At 48.5% G+C, this 17,418-nt stretch overlaps 1 protein-coding gene across 22 annotated transcripts in view; it reads right to left on the reverse strand.

Annotated features, from left to right (window-relative positions):
- The window catches only part of MBP (myelin basic protein), a 154,876-nt gene that overhangs the window by 29,530 nt on the left and 107,928 nt on the right, over nucleotides 1-17,418 (reverse strand). For 13 of the 22 annotated variants that reach the window (XM_047437533.1, XM_047437532.1, NM_001025101.2 and 10 more), the window contains one exon: nucleotides 8,470-8,906. In XM_047437533.1, the coding sequence (XP_047293489.1) occupies nucleotides 8,470-8,906 (437 nt within the window). Of the gene's footprint in view, nucleotides 1-1,486; nucleotides 1,565-4,430; nucleotides 8,907-17,418 lie in introns of those variants that run through there. The other 9 variants (XM_047437530.1, XM_047437529.1, XM_047437534.1 and 6 more) reach the window with 4 other exon arrangements.

The raw sequence follows: 17,418 nt of genomic DNA on the forward strand, positions 1-17,418 counted from the left end.
GACGGGGGACCCTCAGAAACTACCTGCGGGTAGTGGTGGTGTTTTCCATCACCAAGAGAGCCCTCGAAAACCAAGTGCGGCTTCACAACCAGGACACGATTCAAGTTAAACACAGACTCTCAGGATGGGCTTCCAAACCACTGAGACCCCCTCAGGGTGCATGGTTGCCTCCACCCCTGTGGCTTCAGGAAGAAATCCTTCTCCCCAGCCGCAGCCGCCAGTCACTCCAAGTCCCACGACCACCTTGGGGCTCTCACCTGGCCCTTGTCTGGCCCCGGCTCCCCCAGGGCCCTTCTGCCCCCAAGCCCTGGCTTCCTCTGCTGCACTTTCAGCCACTGCCTGGACTGGCCATCCCGGGGCCAGCAGGCACATCCTCATTCCTCATAAACCTACTCCTGGCCCGCGGCGGTGCAGCCCTGGACAGCCAGGCACTAGCATGATGTCTGACATGCAGCCACACCTGGCGGACGCTTCCCCTTCAGGGCCTCCAAGTTTTGGCATCCGCAGGCGTCCTGTCCCCCGTGCTCCTGTGCTCCTTGCTGAGTGTAAATGGTCCCCCCTTGCCGGCCTCTGAAGAGGGGTACCCCAGCTCTCCCTCAAACTTGGTGCGCCATTGAGCATAGCTGTGAAATGTTCTCGCTATTTAGGTACTTGAGCAGCTGTTTCCAATCTTTTGCACATTCCCATGCTTAAAAAGCCAGGTGCCACGGTGCAGACGGTGGTGGCCTGGGTCTGGAGGGGGGCCTGGTGGATGCAGGTTTGTGGTGACCGCTCCTAGTGTGCAAACGGCAGCCCTGCTCACGGTGACGGCAGTGCCAGCTCTGGGCTTGTCCCCTTCCCCTTCTCCTCCTGGCTGTCCTCTTCTTTGTGAGTGCTCCTGGCACCTATGTGCTTTGAGAAGCCGTGGCAGCCACACAAGGAGAAGAGGACAGGCCACAGCGATAGCCCACTTCCTATGCAGAGCCCAGCTGAGCTCAGGTGAGGACAGAGCCCAGAGAGACCAGACGTCCCAAGGACACTCATCGTTTAGAGCTCAATTCAACCCATGTTTAGTGAGTACTAAATGTCTGCTAGGCACTAGTTTTCAAAGCAAACTCGGGTATGCACGTGGCCATAGACCAGGCCAGCCCTCAATACCAGAGCCACTCCCGGGCCCCTCCACGCACTTCAGGCCTCGGCAAAGTGAGGCAGACTCTCACCAAGGCTGCCCATCATCCTGAGCTGACAGCCATACCCTTTGCAGAGGATTCCCTCCAAGGATTCAAAGGCAGGTCCTCCATGCCCCTCTTGGGCATTTGTCTCTTCCTGCAGCTGCTTTTCCCTGGGGGAGGCCTGCCTCCCTGCTTTCACGGCCTCACAGATGCCCCGGAGGCTGGGGGTGGGCCCCTGGCAGTGACACTACCTGCCCCGAGGGACAGTGGCTGAGAGCTCAGGAAACGGCAGGTCACCCCTGGCCCCGATGGGTGAGGACCCGCCGGCGTCTTACCTTGTACATGTTGCACAGCCCAGGCTGGCTGCGGGCATGAGAGGGCAGAGGGCTCCGGCCCGGCTTTAGCCAGGGTACCTGCCGGGGGACACAGAGTGGGCTGCGTGAGTCCGGGTGGGCGCCGCCGGCAATGCCCCAAAGTCCTCCAGCAAATCTCCTCTAGAGCTGGCTTGGCAAGAGCCCAGAGTGAGGAGGAGTGAGCGGGGGGTGGAGGATGAAGGACGACAGGGAGAGAAGAAGGCATGTGCAGATGATGGATGATGGAAGGAAGAGCAAGAGGTGATGGGAGGTCAGAGGGCAGGCATGCGCCCTGAAGGACTCAGGAAATCGAGAGCAAAAGGAAAGTTTAGGGAAGAATTCTCTCCTCCAAAGTCTATTCTGAGGCCCTGTATCAAACAATGGGACCAAGAGTTCTTAATATGGCAGCAGGCACCAGCTGTGAAAGATTTCTAGGATCCAGTGCAGAAGGCCTTTCCCAGTCTGGAGCAAAGTGCACTAAAAGGGTTTTTTGACGTCTACCATGGAATGGATAAATTTTACATTCCACTTTACTTGCAGAGTTGTATTTTTTCTTTTATAGCAAGTGTGTTATCTTCTGCATTGGATTTACAGGTTGAAACTTTTTCTGCTCTGTGAAGGTTCAGTGAACCGAGGACGGACCTTTTCCGATTTTCTGCAGAGCATGAGGAAATAATTTTTAGGAGCAATAGTGTTCAAAATCACTTTAGCCAATTACTTAAAGTTGATTTTCTTGCTGACATTATTCCTTGGTACTGGTGAAGGTTAGGAATTTAACATAAGCAGGAAGTTAATCTTCCTCAGCAGGAGCAGGAGCTACGCATTCACCTGAGCTCTGCGGCTACAAATCTTCCTAAGTAGCATTAGCTCCTAACTTAATGTATTATCTTTGTCAGTTACACGAGAGTATCTGCTATATCAATGAACTTTGAGGGCTGCAGTTGAAAGACTATTATTATAGGACCAAGGTAAGTGCCCTGCAAGAAATGTCTATTTCTTGACTATCAGCTACAGCAAAATGAAGACAGAGAGAGAAGAGAAAGAGGAGACTTATAGTGGTCAAGAGATGAAATCAGCGTAATAGGTTTCAGGAGATGTATTGGCTGCAGATGAAATGGATTCTTTTAACCAGGTTAGCAGCTGAGTATGCATGAGAATAGAGTAGTTCCGACACTGAAGAATGTGGGAGCATTCTAGAAGTATTATGGAAAGTGAACACACCGGGGTTTTCAGAGGCAAATCTGTGGTGAGTGTGTGCTTAGCTGTACGTCTCCTGATGGATTCTCCCTGCATGAGAGAGGCTATTTCTAGGTTAGCAGGAATTTCTGGTGACTTTAATTCATGATATTAAAGGTAAGTAAATTGAGTATTCACTTTAGAGGAGGTCTCCGTGGATAAGCCTGCGGGAGTTGCTGTGCTGATGAGACTTGGCTGTCCTCATAAGCAGTGACTCCCATCAGCTGGTGTCCATGAGCGTGAGCAAGTGTACGCTATGTACAGGGCCAACAAGCGAAGAACTTTCCATTAATTTTCCCTCCATCTCCTACAATGGCTCTTCTTCACAAAGAAGATCATCACTGTGAGGCATGTTCTCGTGGCTCTGGTGGGCTGGCGTGAAGCCCCTCTACTGACTCCCTGTCTACTCATGGGGAAGGCAGGTGGCTGGGGTAGCCATAAGACATCCCACTGATGGTTTTCAGGAAATGCAACCTGTAACCCCGGCTGCCTGCCACTCCCAGAGCCAGGAAGAGGGAGGACAAATGCAAGGGCCAGAGAAGACGAAAGGCAAGAATAGCCTCTTAGGAGAAATTGTGTGTGCTAAGCCCGCTTGTATGGGGCTCCCTCAAGAGAGTTCAGTGTTCTTTAGCTGTTTCTTCTTTTTTACTACGTTTTTATGAAGTAGGATGATTTCAGAGCATTAAGAGTGTGCTGATAGCCATAAAGGAAAAAACTTTTAAAAACATTGAATCAGGGTTTGATAGGAAATGTCCACACTTCTTAAATTTGTATCAATATCTAAGTGATTTTCACGAGTGCTATTGTGTGTTTTTTTCTAAGGATGATCTATTCCCTCAGATGTCAAGCCAAGCTCCTAATTCACCGATCAGAATTGCCTGTTATCAAATGTCCAGACTTTTTATCAAAGGAAAATCAACGATGAGAGAAATGAATGCTTTAAAATGCAAATGAGTTTAAAGGGAGGAGATGAGTTAAGACGAGGGTCTGATGGGACATGAAAGGCAGGACCGCATCCAAGCCAATCACTTATCTTTACTCTTGTTTCTAATTTCTCAAAGACCCCAAGTTTCAGCTTCATCTCATACACTCATTATCATCTTTCAGAGAGCCAGCACCATCCCCTCATTTCAGTGTCTCGAGGTTCCCATGACCCCCGTTGTGTGTGAGCTCCCGGGGGGCCCTGTGGGCACTGGCACCCATGTGCACGTTCATTCAGGAGATGCTGGTGGGGCGGGCTGTGTCCATGACAGCACCTGCCAGTGGGATCTGCTCAGCGTCCACCCTCCCTAACATTTGCGGGATGATGCTTTGAGAGAAACACAAGAAACTTCAGGCAGAATCAGAATAGTCACCATAGAAAGACCAGAACACCGAACTGTCAGGGGAGAGAAGACAGTAAAATGTCTCTGTGTAGTAAAAGCAGATGAGTGAGCAACTGTGACCTTCCCACACAGAAGCACAGGTCAGGTGAGAGAAGACAGTAAAATGTCTCTGTGTAGTAAAAGCAGATGAGTGAGCAACTGTGACCTTCCCACACAGAAGGGCAGGAGCTCGGGTGCTCACACTTACCTGCCAGCTGTGTCACCAGGCCACAAAAATGCCGGCAACACAGCACACTGACGTGGTGGGGGCAACCAAACCAAAAACGACAAATTAAAGAAGTTCGCATGCAATTAGTACACTGTCCTTGGTCTGTTAAACTGTTTAATGAATGCATAAAAAGGCAGAAAAATATATAAAGCCAAAAGCTCATAATAAAATTAAATCATGATACAACCACCACAGGCAATTACCATCAAATACATTCCCATGATTTACAAATGTATCGCTTATACAGAGGAAGTTGCAAAATCACTGCCAGTACAGACACATCCAGTCTAATTAACTATCGTCTATTCATACAACAGCAACAACTGCAGCTCCTGAGACCACAGAAGGACACAGTGAGCAGCTGGTGACTGAGCCAGGGTAGCCTCCGATCAATAACTGATCAGAGTAATGAGACTTTGAGAGGAATGCCTATAAGAAATCTCAAAAGGTATTTGTTTGGGTGCAGAAACAAATGCACCCTCCACATTTGGATTTTCTCTAGAAGAATCTGTGGCCAAATCTCTTATCCAATGGAGGTACTGAGTGGCTGGATCAGTTACCATGCAAGCTCACGATGAATGAGATTGAATTTGGTTCTGTGTGCACACTGGGCTCTGGGGAGGGAGGACACCCCTGTGTGTTGCTGCTGCCTTCCGTGCTGTCTACTGTATCCTTCATGTGTCTCCAAATGGTACACGCCCCATGGGATTACAGAACACAGCTACAGAATTAGGATCTCATGGTAACAATGAGGAATTAGGTTACTGTAGAACTAAAATATGTTTAATGAAATTAAAATGCAATGGAAAAAAAATCAGGCAACAGAACATTCTGATGAATTTACAGGACTGATTATATCCCACGGCACTGAATGACAAACAGTTCTTCTCCATACAGTCGCAATTAGAGGCATAGAAGTCATACTGAATGCTGAATAGAAGAACACTGAGAAGAGCAGGTTATAAATGAAGGTTTTCACATAAAACAGAAAAATAGACAAAATCATCGGTAAGAAGCTAGCTTTCGAAAACCTCCCTAAAAGTACACGGCACGGAGAAGTGGGGTACTGGGATGTCCTGGCTGCTTTCTGCTTTGGGAACTATCCAAGTGGCACATCACCATGTCCAGCTTAGGTGTCTTGTGAAACCTTACTTCCTCCACATAAAAAGGAAGGAACGGTTTCCAAAGCTAATGTTTCCAGGCTCTGCCTCGTGACACTCAAGTGGCCTCAGATATGAGCACTGGCACAGAGTGATGCTGGAGAGGTCACTTAGAGAGAAGCTGCCGGGCCAAGCACACGACAATCTTGGCCCTAAGTGCTCACCCATTCCTCATGTGACCCTGACATTCCGGGGAACTGGGAAACCTGTTCCTTAAAGGCAACAACAGTCCTTTCTTTCCTCTCACAACAAAGGAGCATGTTCTCCGTGAATGCACTTTTCATTTACGGCTCTCAAAAGAATATGCCTTCTCAAGGAATTTTTAATGCACTTTTCTTGAATGTCAGCTCCCAGCAACACAAGCATGGGTGTTGTTAGGGCATTCCCGGGCTCGGGGGCGGCCGCTCCAACATGTGGTACCAGCGGCCATGTGCCCTCAAGGGGAGGGAGGAAGAGCACAGGAGGGTGGGAGGAGGACAAACAGCCCCTTTTATAGGGTCATGGGGGGGCTCCACTCAGAGTCTGGCAGGAATCTGCCAGGAAAACCTCGTTCTAGATAGGGAGAAGCAGAACTGTGTGTGGGGCAGGCCGCCGTGGTCCTGAGAGACAGGGCCCGGGCCTTCCACTGCTCGTTTGCACACCTCTTCGGCCTATCCCAAGGACCTTCCTAGCATATAAAAACAGGGGCTCTCCTGATTTGTAAACAGAACAACAAATAAAAATAAAAACAAAACCAAAAATTCCTCCATGGCAGCCCACCCAATGAATACCCCAGATTTTTAGGGCCATTGCGGGTCTGTAGCTGGGTGTAGAGAGAGTTAAGCTTTCATCTCCCATGTTTACAACACTTTGTGATAAAATAGTTGAGTGGAGCAATCACATCCCCACTGCGTGCGCTCCCCCGGGATGCCTCACAGCTGCTCTGTGATCACACGTGCAAATGTTATTATTATTATTTTTTGCCTTTGGCATCAAAGGGCAAGCCTGTTCATTAAAAAATCTTCTATATTCAACACTCCATAGTGAAAAGAATGGATACTTCAAAATTCCTAAAGCAATCATGTGAAAATTATTTTTATTTTTAAAATTTTTGAAAGTGTTTTGATTTTTATGGGTCCTTGATAATTGGCCAGCCCTGTTTTGCAAAGAGATGGACTATTTCTGAGACTAGAATGTTTTCTTTGAAAATATTGAAGAGTATAAGAGATTTAAGACAATAAAGGCTGTAATCTTACCATAAAGGAAGAAAAACATCTATGTGTGTCAATATTGTTTTGAGATAAAGTCACAATGATTGATATCAATGCTTTCACCATTTTATTTCAACTTAAACCAGTGTCACTCACATGAAGCTTATTTTATAATACATATTATCCAGTGATTTCATCTTTTCTGCACAGTTTAAGTACATTTTTTTTTTCTGTACCTTGAAGTAAGCAGAATAGTTCAAGCTTTCAAAACTGGTGATGCTGTATGCGTGAGGGATGCTTACATAATAGCAACGCTTTATTGGGCAACCCGAATCCATACATGTCTGGTGTGGTTTGATAGCTGGGCTTGAAAAAGTGCTTCCAGTTGAAATTAGCATTAGAAATCGGTTAGAACACCAACATTTCAGGGTGAGGGAGGACTGCTACAAAGGAAAAGAACATGTCTACAAATGCACTGAAAGAACTAGCCAGAATATGAATTCCATTAGTATCTAAGACACACAAAATGTCATTTACAAATAAGTCACGGCAAGTGTCACAACCTGAAATCTCAACTCAGACAGATGGTAGAGATGTTAACAGTTGCCTGAAACTTCGATGTGCTTTCACGCCCACAGGAAAGGTAAAACTGACATTTGTGTTTCTCTTCAACAATTTCATGATCAATAAAGAATTGCAGTTGGAGACTAAAGCAAATTCTAGAAACTCCTTAACTCCAAGTTGCCCTATGGTTTTTATGATTGCATGTTATCAGAATGAGGCGCTCTGTTCCACACTTTATTCAAAAGCCTTTTACGCTCCCACAAGGCCTTCTGGAATTCCAGAATCAGCCCTGCACACAGGCAGAAAAACAGCTTCATCTTACAGGTTGTGTGAGAACACCCAATAAACTAGGGACTTTTTTGGGAAAAACTTCTTTCTCTCCAAAATTACACAACCACCAAACACTCTAAACATCACGTAAAATACTGCATCTGCAATCTGAATGGCACTCAGGGACCAGCGCTTTGATGAACCAGCAGCCACAGGTTCTCCACTGACAATCAACTGCAGAAACCACTCCTAGACTCTGGACCCCATAGCAGAGTTTTTTTTTTTTGTAATACATTTTTATCCACATTTGCTTTTGAATAAAGAAACTTCTAAGACTCTGTATGCAAATTAATGGAATCACAAGATAATAAAGCTTTGATTCATAGACACTCATTTATCCCTCCCCCCTTCCACTTCTCAGACCACAGAGAACGTTTGCTCAAGGCGGATTTAAATTGAGGAGTTTGTTCAAAAGTCTTCCTCGACCTCAATCCTATGATTGTCGCAGAGCAACATGAAGCTAGCAGCACTGACTCCAGGAAAAAACGAGCATAACCCAGTGTTGAACCCCAGCGTGTGGGCTGCAGAGGCAACATCAGTCATCAAGTCCGCAAGCACACACCACCAGAGACCCTGAGAATGTGGCTCTCTTTCTGCAACGCCCATGTCCAGGCACCCTTAGAGATCCAGAATTCAGCATGTCCTTACATTCCTGAGCCACACCCCGGCCACCATCCCTTGTGAGGAAAAGAGGGGGTGAGTTAAACGAAAACGTCCTAAGCAGCCACTCAGGCCCACACTCTTGGGCTCATATGCATTCTCCAGCACGGAACGAGACCTTAGACAGCAAGAGGCTACGTGCCAGTTCTTCCTCTAATGGCTGAGTTCACCTACTGATTTCTCCTTTGCTTTTTCCATTTAAACTAAAACTCCTCTACTCCTCAGAGCTCACCTTGCCAGAGCCCCGCTTGGGCGCACCCCTGTCACCGCCAAAGAAGCGCCCGATGGAGTCAAGGATGCCCGTGTCTCTGTGCCTTGGGAGGAAGCCATGCCTGGCATGGTCCATGGTACTTGCTGTGGCCAGGTACTTGGATCCGTGCCTCTGGGAGGGTCTCTTCTGTGACGCCATCACATCCAGGCTCTCGGAGGTGGCTGCACTGTCTTCTTGGATGGTCTGGAGCTCGTCGGACTCAGAGGGCCTGTCTTTGAAGGTGTTGTCCTCCCTCCCCGGGGCATCTCGGGAAAAGAGGCGGATCAAGTGGGGGCGGCTCCCTGGGTCAGCTGGGTGGGCATCCTGCCAGGCATTCTTCGGGTCCGCTGTGCGCTTGGAGTCAGTCACCGCTGTGTCCTGAGAGGAGGTCCCATTGTTCTGGTTCGCATCTGCCTCTCCTGCAAACAACAATGAGATATGAATACGGGCCTGTGCAAAGCTGAGCACCGGACAAAGCAGCTTTCTCTGAGGGGTCTTGACCTAGCTGTCTCCTATAAAACCCACAGAATATGTGCAGTCCTCATAAAGCCCTTGGCCTAGGATGGAGCTAACCTGGATGGAGCAGCCTTATTGCAGCTCTGTGTTTCAGAAGGCTCTGGGAATTCCTCAGTTACTCGAGATTTGGCACCCAGCGTAAAATGCACCCAGGCTTCCCGATGAAGTCATCTGAGCATGCAGAGCAGCCACATCAGCGTTTCTTCCCGGGTGCTGCCATGGCTGCTCCCGGAGAGCCCAGATGTGCAGGCACCTTGATGGGACATTGACTGTTTAAAAGGCCACTGGTGCATAAGTTAAATATGCAAGGAGCATTTATTTGACAAAAGGTGTTTTTAGTTTTCTTGGTAGAAACAAAACTTGCCACATCTTTTTGCAATTCATGCATGAAAGAAGTGGGGCATTTAGAATTGTTTCAATCCCAGATTCCACAAGAGGCCTCTCACAATAGAGAACTGCTTATTCAGGACATTTTGACTTGGCTTCTCCTCTGGAAGCAGAAACAATTAGAAATCTGAAGTGGGATTGAGATATTTCATGTTGTATACCAGCATCTCATAGCTTTCTCCAAAAAATACCACATTTCTGTCACGAAGGGCAATGAATCCATTTTGCTTTCAAGTTAGAGTGTTAGGTTTAAATAAATATCATTTAGTTAGTTTCCTCTCCAAACTCTATTACTTATCTACAGAAAACAGGATTCACTCACATATTCCTGTAATACCAGTCATCCATCTATCTCTCTATCCATTCATCCATCCATCCACATAACAGTCCATTTACCCATCCATCCATCTATCCATCCATCCATACACACACCCACCTACCCATCCATCCATCCATGCATCCATCCATCCCCCATCCACTCATCCATCCGTTCACCCATCCACCCACCCCTCCATCTATCCACTCATCCATCCATCCACTCATGCATCCATCCATCCACATATCAGTCCATTTACTCATCCATCCATCTATCCATCCATCCATACACATACCCACCTACCCATCCATCCATCCATCCCCCATCCACTCATCCATCCACCCACCCACCATCTATCCACTCATGCATGCATGCATCCATCAATTCATCCATTCGTCATCCATCCATCCACATATCAGTCCATTTACCCATCCATCCATCTATCCATCCATCCATACACACACCCACCTACCCATCCATCTATCCATCCCCCATCCACTCATCCATCCATTCATCCATCCACCCACCCCTCCATCTATCCACTCATCCATCCATCCATCCATCCATCCATCCACATATCAGTCCATTTACCCATTTATCCATCTATCCATCCATTCCATCCATCCCCCATCCACTCATACATCCATTCATCCATCCATCCACCCCTCCATCTATCCACTCATCCATCCATCCATCCATCCATCCATCCATCCACATATCAGTCCATTTACCCATTTATCCATCTATCCATCCATCCATCCATATATCCACCCATCCATCCATCCACTCATCCATCTATCCATCCATCCATCCATCCATCCATCCATCCATCCATCCATCCATCCACTCATGTATTCATCCATTTACCTACCTGTTCATCCATCCATCTATCCATTCATCCATCCATCCATCCATCCATCCATCCATCCATCCACTCATGTATCCATCTATTTACCTACCTGTTCATCCATCCATCCATCCATCCATCCATCCATCCATCCATCCATCCATCCATTATTTATGAGTACCAAATAGGTGTAATGTACCATTCTAAATATCTGAGTTACAGTGATTGTAATTCACGAGGTCCTTGTCCTCGTGAAACCTACATTCTAGTGGGGAAAGCAGGTGAAAATGTATGTTATGGATTGAATAGTATCCCTCCAAATGATATGTCCATGTCCTAACTTCTGTACCTGTGAGTGTGACCTTATTTGGAAATAGATCTTTGCAGGTGGAATCAAGTGAAGATGAGGTCATTCTGCAGTAGGGTGGGCCCTACTCCAATCACTGGTGTCCTTGTAAGAAGAGAGCAGTTTGGACACAGCCACAGATGCACAGGGGAGAGGTGTGAAGATGGAGGAGGAGCCTGGAGGGGGGCATCTACAAACCTCAGAACACCAAGCACTTCTGGCACCACCAGGAGTAAGAGACATGGAGCAAATTCTCCTGTAGAGCCTTCGGGGGAAGCAGGGCTCTGCAGACATCTCAACTTGAGCTTTCTGGCCTTCACAATGGTCACAGAAGAATTCCTGTAGTTTGAAGCCCCCAGCATATGGTAATTTGTCTTGGCAGCCCCAACTCATGCAATGTGCAACTTCACATCAGGCAAGAGAACAGGAAAGCAGAGAGGGCTTGGGTCAGCAGGAAGGTCCTTGCGGAAATGACAGGACAAGATGAGAGTCTGGGCCCTGCGAGGACTTGGGGAAGTTGGGGAGGGTGCTTCTGGCAGAGGGGAAGGCAGCCCCCACTGGAAGCCTGCGCGGAATCGGCTCCCGGTGGCGGAAGCAGCAGGAGAGCGGCCATGCTGGTTCTGGGTCCAGGAGGATGGCCGGGCTGAGAACCTCCCAGGCCAGGCAGTAACCTGGGAGGCAGGAGGGCCTGTGCAGGGAACTGACCATCTGTGAGCAACAGCAGGGGTATCACAGCCTTGATGGCTGTGAACAGACTGTGGAAAGGGCAGAGCAGGCAGCTATGTGGCGAGAAGACAGGGCTTGGTTTGGGGAGCAGCGGGGCCTGGGGAGGGAAGATTCTAGTGGACGGCCTCTGTGGAGGGATATGATGGAGATGGTGGTACCCAGAGGCCGGGGGCACCTTGGCTTCCATCCTGAGCAATTGGGAGAGGGACAGGGACTGGGAGTCTGGCTGGGACACTAAGGAAAGAAAGGTCTCTGGCCTGGGGTGGGGGAGTGGGGAGAGTGGCTGCAGGTGGCCTGGTTGGGGAAGGTGTAGACAGGGAACCAGCGAACAGTTGAGAATGCATGCCTGCCAAGCGACCAAGAGTGAGCAGTGGACAGATATTCTTCTACGTCGGTTTCCACAAAGGACCTCTTTCAGTAACTGCCCTGGGGTCCCCGTGACCCCTCCAGTTTCCCTGACTTGCTAGGAGAGCTCCCGGGACTTAGGATATGGTCCTGTCACTGCTATGACTCATTGCAATGAGAGGTGCATGGCGAAGTCCAGGAACCCCTCCTCAGAGTCACATGGGAGGCTGAATTTCCCAGCACATGCTGTGACCCCATGTGTGACATGCTGTCTGTTAGGGAGGCTCGTTAGAGACCCTTCCCAGGGCTTTACTCGGGGCTGGTCTCATAGGCTGCCTCGCTTGGTGCCACCAAGATTCCAGCCTTCAGAGGAAAGGCGCTGTTCTGCACAGACCATGTGGTGCTCACAGCTGTTCCGGCACAGCGAACCACCCTCCCGGTTAGGGCATGGTGGGTGGGAGCACTCTGGAAACCCGCATTCCCAGACCACACCCCGGGACCTAGCTCACCACAGGCCTGCCTAAGAGTGGACGGCTCCAGGCTGCAGTGTGAACTCTTTTCTGCACAATTACTAAGAGGCAGGAAAGTCATAAAGACGTTGGTGAGGAAAAGATGTTTCTCATGTGGTTTGGTTCACACTAAAAATACTTTGAGGGCATTTCTTCACGTGGACTGAGAAGACACATAACTTGGGGGATGTTAAGTTGTTAAACTAAATGTCTGGAAGAGTGTTGTCTTCTGAGAAAGAGTCCTCCACCCTCCGCTCCGTACAGCCTTGGTATCAGCAGCTCTGAAGATGAAGCCGTAGGAGCAGCCTCTCGGGTGGAAGATTCTACGTCTCTTGGCAGCAGCTCTCAGGGAGAGTGGGACTGACACATTTCCCACCTGAGTTAAGTTTGTACTTGGTAAGGTTAGGTGACCCCCGCTCTGGTGCACACACACCCACGTGTACACACACACACGCAAACAGGCAGAGCACCACCAGAATTGGAACCCAGGTTCAGCAATTCTTGTAGAAACTTTAAATAAAAATGCAATTTCCTCTTGCATTAATAGCACTATTGACTAAGCCAGATGACAGCCTGCTAGCCTCCCAGGTGGCTGACCTTGGGCGATGCTGTAGATAAAACAATGCCTGTGAAGATGCACCTTTTTTTTTTTTTTTTTTTGAGATGGAGTCTCACTCTGTCGCCCAGGTTGGAGTGTGATGGCACAATCTCAGCTCACCGCAACCTCCGCCTCCCGGGTTCACGCCATTCTCCTGCGTCAGCCTCCCAAGTAGCTGGGATTACAGGCGCCTGCCACTGTGCCCAGCTAATTTTTTGTATTTTTAGTAGAGACTGGGTTTCACTATGTTGGCCAGGCTGGTCTCGAACTCCTGACCTCGTGATCCACCTGCCTCGGCCCCGCAAAGTGCTTGGATTACAGGTGTGAGCCACCGTGCCCAGCCTCTACTTTTAAGCCATCATGAGCACTTGGACTCCAATGCAGCTCCTTTCTTTATTTCTCAGTGTATTTCCCGGGGTCTTTGGCCAACTGCAGCGGGTGGCCTTTTTTGAATCTGAGAACGCACGGTGACACAGGCCCCTTCAGCACTGAGGTCTCATCTGGGGGATGCGAAGAGGGGAGGGCACCAGTTCTGGGGGTGGTGGCATGGGAGGAGTGAGGTGGGGTTGCTTTCCTTCTGCTGCTGATAGTCGTGGATGTTTGCACACTTACAACTCTCGCTCATTGGAAAAAGGATTCCAGTGCTTCTGATTTTTTTAATCAAAATCATCTGGGTTGAGAAACTGCCCTGTAAGTGAGACGTATCATGCAGTCCACATAAGACCTGGTTCCAAGGCAGGTTAACCTGCTCTCACATACATTACAGATGTTTGCCAACAGCAAAGTGTAAAGCCAGCAGTTGGAACCCAGGGTCGCGGTGGTCTCGTCCATGCACCCAAGGGATTGCGTACGGCTGCCAGTGTGACTGTGCTGGCTGAGCCCTGTGCCTGAAAAATAGGTCACCTGCTCCAGGACAAGTGCGGAAAAGGCAGGACCAGGTGGGGCGGGAGACTTCGGTGGCACCGTTCTTCCATGACCACTGGTGAAATTCAACTATGTAAGAACGCTAAGCTTTATAACATATTATTAAGTACATCATTGCACTGTAGTGTTTGAAAAAGCAACGTGAAGAATACTGTGGTCAGTACAAAGCTGCAGTTTTTGCAGGGTGCAATGCTTATTTATAGGTTGCAAGAACAACAGAAATGATTAGTCTGATTTTATAGCTGTGCTTTATGTTCTCTAGCTAATATAAATTAATGCAAATGTGAAAGGAAAACAATAGCTATATTGTACATAATTAAATGCATTAACAAAACACAAGAACATCTGAATACTAATATTTTTGCAACAGTTGGGCTTTGTGTCCCTGAATGCAGTTATTTGTGAGGCACAGAGAAGGGCATTTTTGTCCCCAAAGTAGCTTCTCCCAACACATAAGAAGTATGCGAAGAAGTCTAAATCTATGGATGTGCAGCGTTTTTGGTAGGGGCGAGTGCAGTTTAGTCGTTAATATTGCCTTCAGTCAAACGAAATCCCAATGCAGACTTTTACATTTGGATATTTATAGAGCAGAGCATTATTACACAATTAGTGAAACATGCAGATCTACATTTTCCAAAATATGTACTTATAATATTTTCTGTGGTATTAATCGATTTCTGCAATTGCAGGAAAACTTCCTTAAACAACAACACCACACCCTAATCTTATTGCTAGGACAATGCTGGCCTTTAGAAGGTGGTGATATTCAAATCACTGACCATCTGTGAGCAACAACAGGGGTATCATGTATCTCCGAGTGGTTTCTGAGGCACAGAAATGCACAGCAGGACGCAGCTGTGATATGTGGGGGATAGCGTTTACTAAATAAAGAAACTCAGGCGTCATGACCTGAGGAAGCTCATCTTCCACTGAGGTGGTGTTAATGAAAGGTCACGTGGCCTCATTTTTACAGTGTGACTGGCTGCTTCCAGTGGCTCATCCCCAGCACACAAGCGTCGCCAGGTCCTGCCACTCCTTCTTTTGGACTATTTCTTATGTGACCACAACCCCCCGCTTCCTTTGCTTGCTGCCGCTTTCTGCTGGGGCTCTCACTGCGACATCGTGGCTAATTCCCTCATCTCCAGGATCCCTTCGTGGGTTCCACTGCCTGCACAACCGCTGGACCATCCGTAAAGGGCTTTGCAACACAAGGCTCCTAACTCATGCGCCTGCACGGACTCCTCATTCTATGAGCTCCAAGGACACACTCCTCTCTCTGCCATTGGGTTCCCTTGTTCTCCTCCGTGGCGCCATGTGCAATGCTGCAGGCCCTTGACCTCTGTGGTCTCAACAATGGCCACGCTGCTGCCTCTGCCTCCAGGTCCCCACCCTGGGGAGGCTGGCCCTGGGAGGCCCAGACACCCTTCTCCGAGTGCGTCTTACCCTCCAGTACCACAGAGTCACTCCTTAGTTCTCTTCTAATCGCCTCATATTTGCTTTGTTCTCTCCAGTCAAGTGACCTCCTCTCCGAGGGCCAGGGACCAGGCTCTGTTTATTCTCTAACATATCTGGGATGGTGTGGGGCCTCCACAGATGTCCAACAAGCATTGAACGTTTGCTAATAGAAGATGCTGATATTTACTGGAGTATACTCCAAAAGGAAAGACACCAAACCCCCCACTCTTCTTTGCTAGAAAAACTTAGATTTTGGCATGATAGCTGTTAAGCTGCTTTTTATATACTTATTTTTAAGTCAGCCTCTACACCCATGGTCTAAAGCAAGCTTGTCCAACCTGCAGCCCACAGGCCGCATGCAGCCCAGGATGCCTTTGAACGCAGCCCAATACAAATTCATAAACTTTCTTAAAACATTATGAGTTATTTTGTGACTTTTTTCTTTAGCTCATCAACTATTGTTAGTGTATTTTATGTGTGACCCAAGACAATTCTTCTTCTTCCAATGTGGCCCAGGGAAGCCAAAAGATTGGATACCCCGGTCTAAAGAATTCTGTTTAGAAATTAATTTCTGTAGCAAAATTTCACTCTTTCTGGTTCTGCAGAGAGTTTTCTAATATGGTAAATAAAACCATTTAGCATGGCTCTGAAGTTCCAGAATACAGAATTAAACTTTTCTGCTTTATCCTTTCCTAAAGTCCAAACCCTAATTTATGCTTTTGGATGTGTTGCTCAGATGAAACATGGATGGCCAAGCGGGACCGCCTTCCACAAGCCCCAGGCCCTCGTGCTCTGCAGTTTCCTTGGAGCAAATCAAAGCATGTGGGCGACGGAGAATCGGCCGTCGTGGCAGCGCCAGGGCCTGCAGTCGCCAGGGTGGGGCTGAGGCCAGGGCCGGAGGTCTGGGCAGAACCACAGGGAAGGACCTTGGAGGCCGACCTCAGTCCCAACACTGACCAGCCGATGTGCTCCAGCAAGTCGCTGAGCCCAGATGTGCCTGTTTCTGTGTTTATGAGATGGGAGCATTCATTTCTATTCTTACCTGAAATAACCCCAGGCTCCTTTCCGCAGCAGCACACTGACCTGGGTGACGTGTCCTCCCCATGCCACCCTCCCACAAACGCTGCCTTCCACCCACAGCACCCGCAGAGAGTGGCAGAGAGGGCATTCCTGAGCAGATTGCAGGAGTTTTGGGAGGTGCATGTGTGCATTCTCGTAACTCTCCGAGGCGGGTGGTTTTAGTAGCCCTTTTATTCATACCAGAAACTGAGACTTAGCAAAGTTAAGGTGGGATTGATGGAGGAGCTGCCGTTCACTCCTGCCTAAACTCCCTCCGTATGTTCTAGAAACGCAGGCGATCCCCCACCTCTAGCTGTCTGACACCAGCCCTTCTCCAGCCCAAAGTGGCTTTCACTGCAGCCAGGCTTTTCCTCTCAGGGTAAAATTGAACTGCAGATAATCGATGGCTGACGCATCTGTGGCTAGCAGCTGCTTCACGGAGGGCTGACCAGGAGAGACCCAGAGGCTTTCTGATCTGTCGGGAGCCAAGAGCTGAGCCAGGGCCCCCGCCTGCAGCCACAGGGACCTCGAGTGCACTCAGCGGTCTTGGTGCACCATAGCCACCTGGACATCGATACGTTAATGACTGTTAAACATGAACAAAAGCCGAGTCCCACACTCCAGGACATTCAACACCCACCCGACAGTCTGTCCGAGTGTTACCTCCAACAGTATGAAGCTCACCGTGCAACGGCTCCAGGCTTGTTTAGGAAACTGTCCCACTCTCATCTTGCTCTAATCAGAACATGGCAGGAATCAAATATCCATACCTGACTGTCTCCAGTAGAATGGTGATGACAGAGCGGACACTGTCCTCTATTGAAATACTTTTTTTTTTTTTTTTTTTTACCTAGAGCATGTTTCTCGTGCTCCATTCCCCTGCATCCGTGGAAATCACATCGC

The sequence above is a fragment of the Homo sapiens genome, chromosome 18 (assembly GCF_000001405.40).
Source record: "Homo sapiens chromosome 18, GRCh38.p14 Primary Assembly".
NCBI classification, from domain to species: Eukaryota; Metazoa; Chordata; class Mammalia; order Primates; family Hominidae; genus Homo; species Homo sapiens.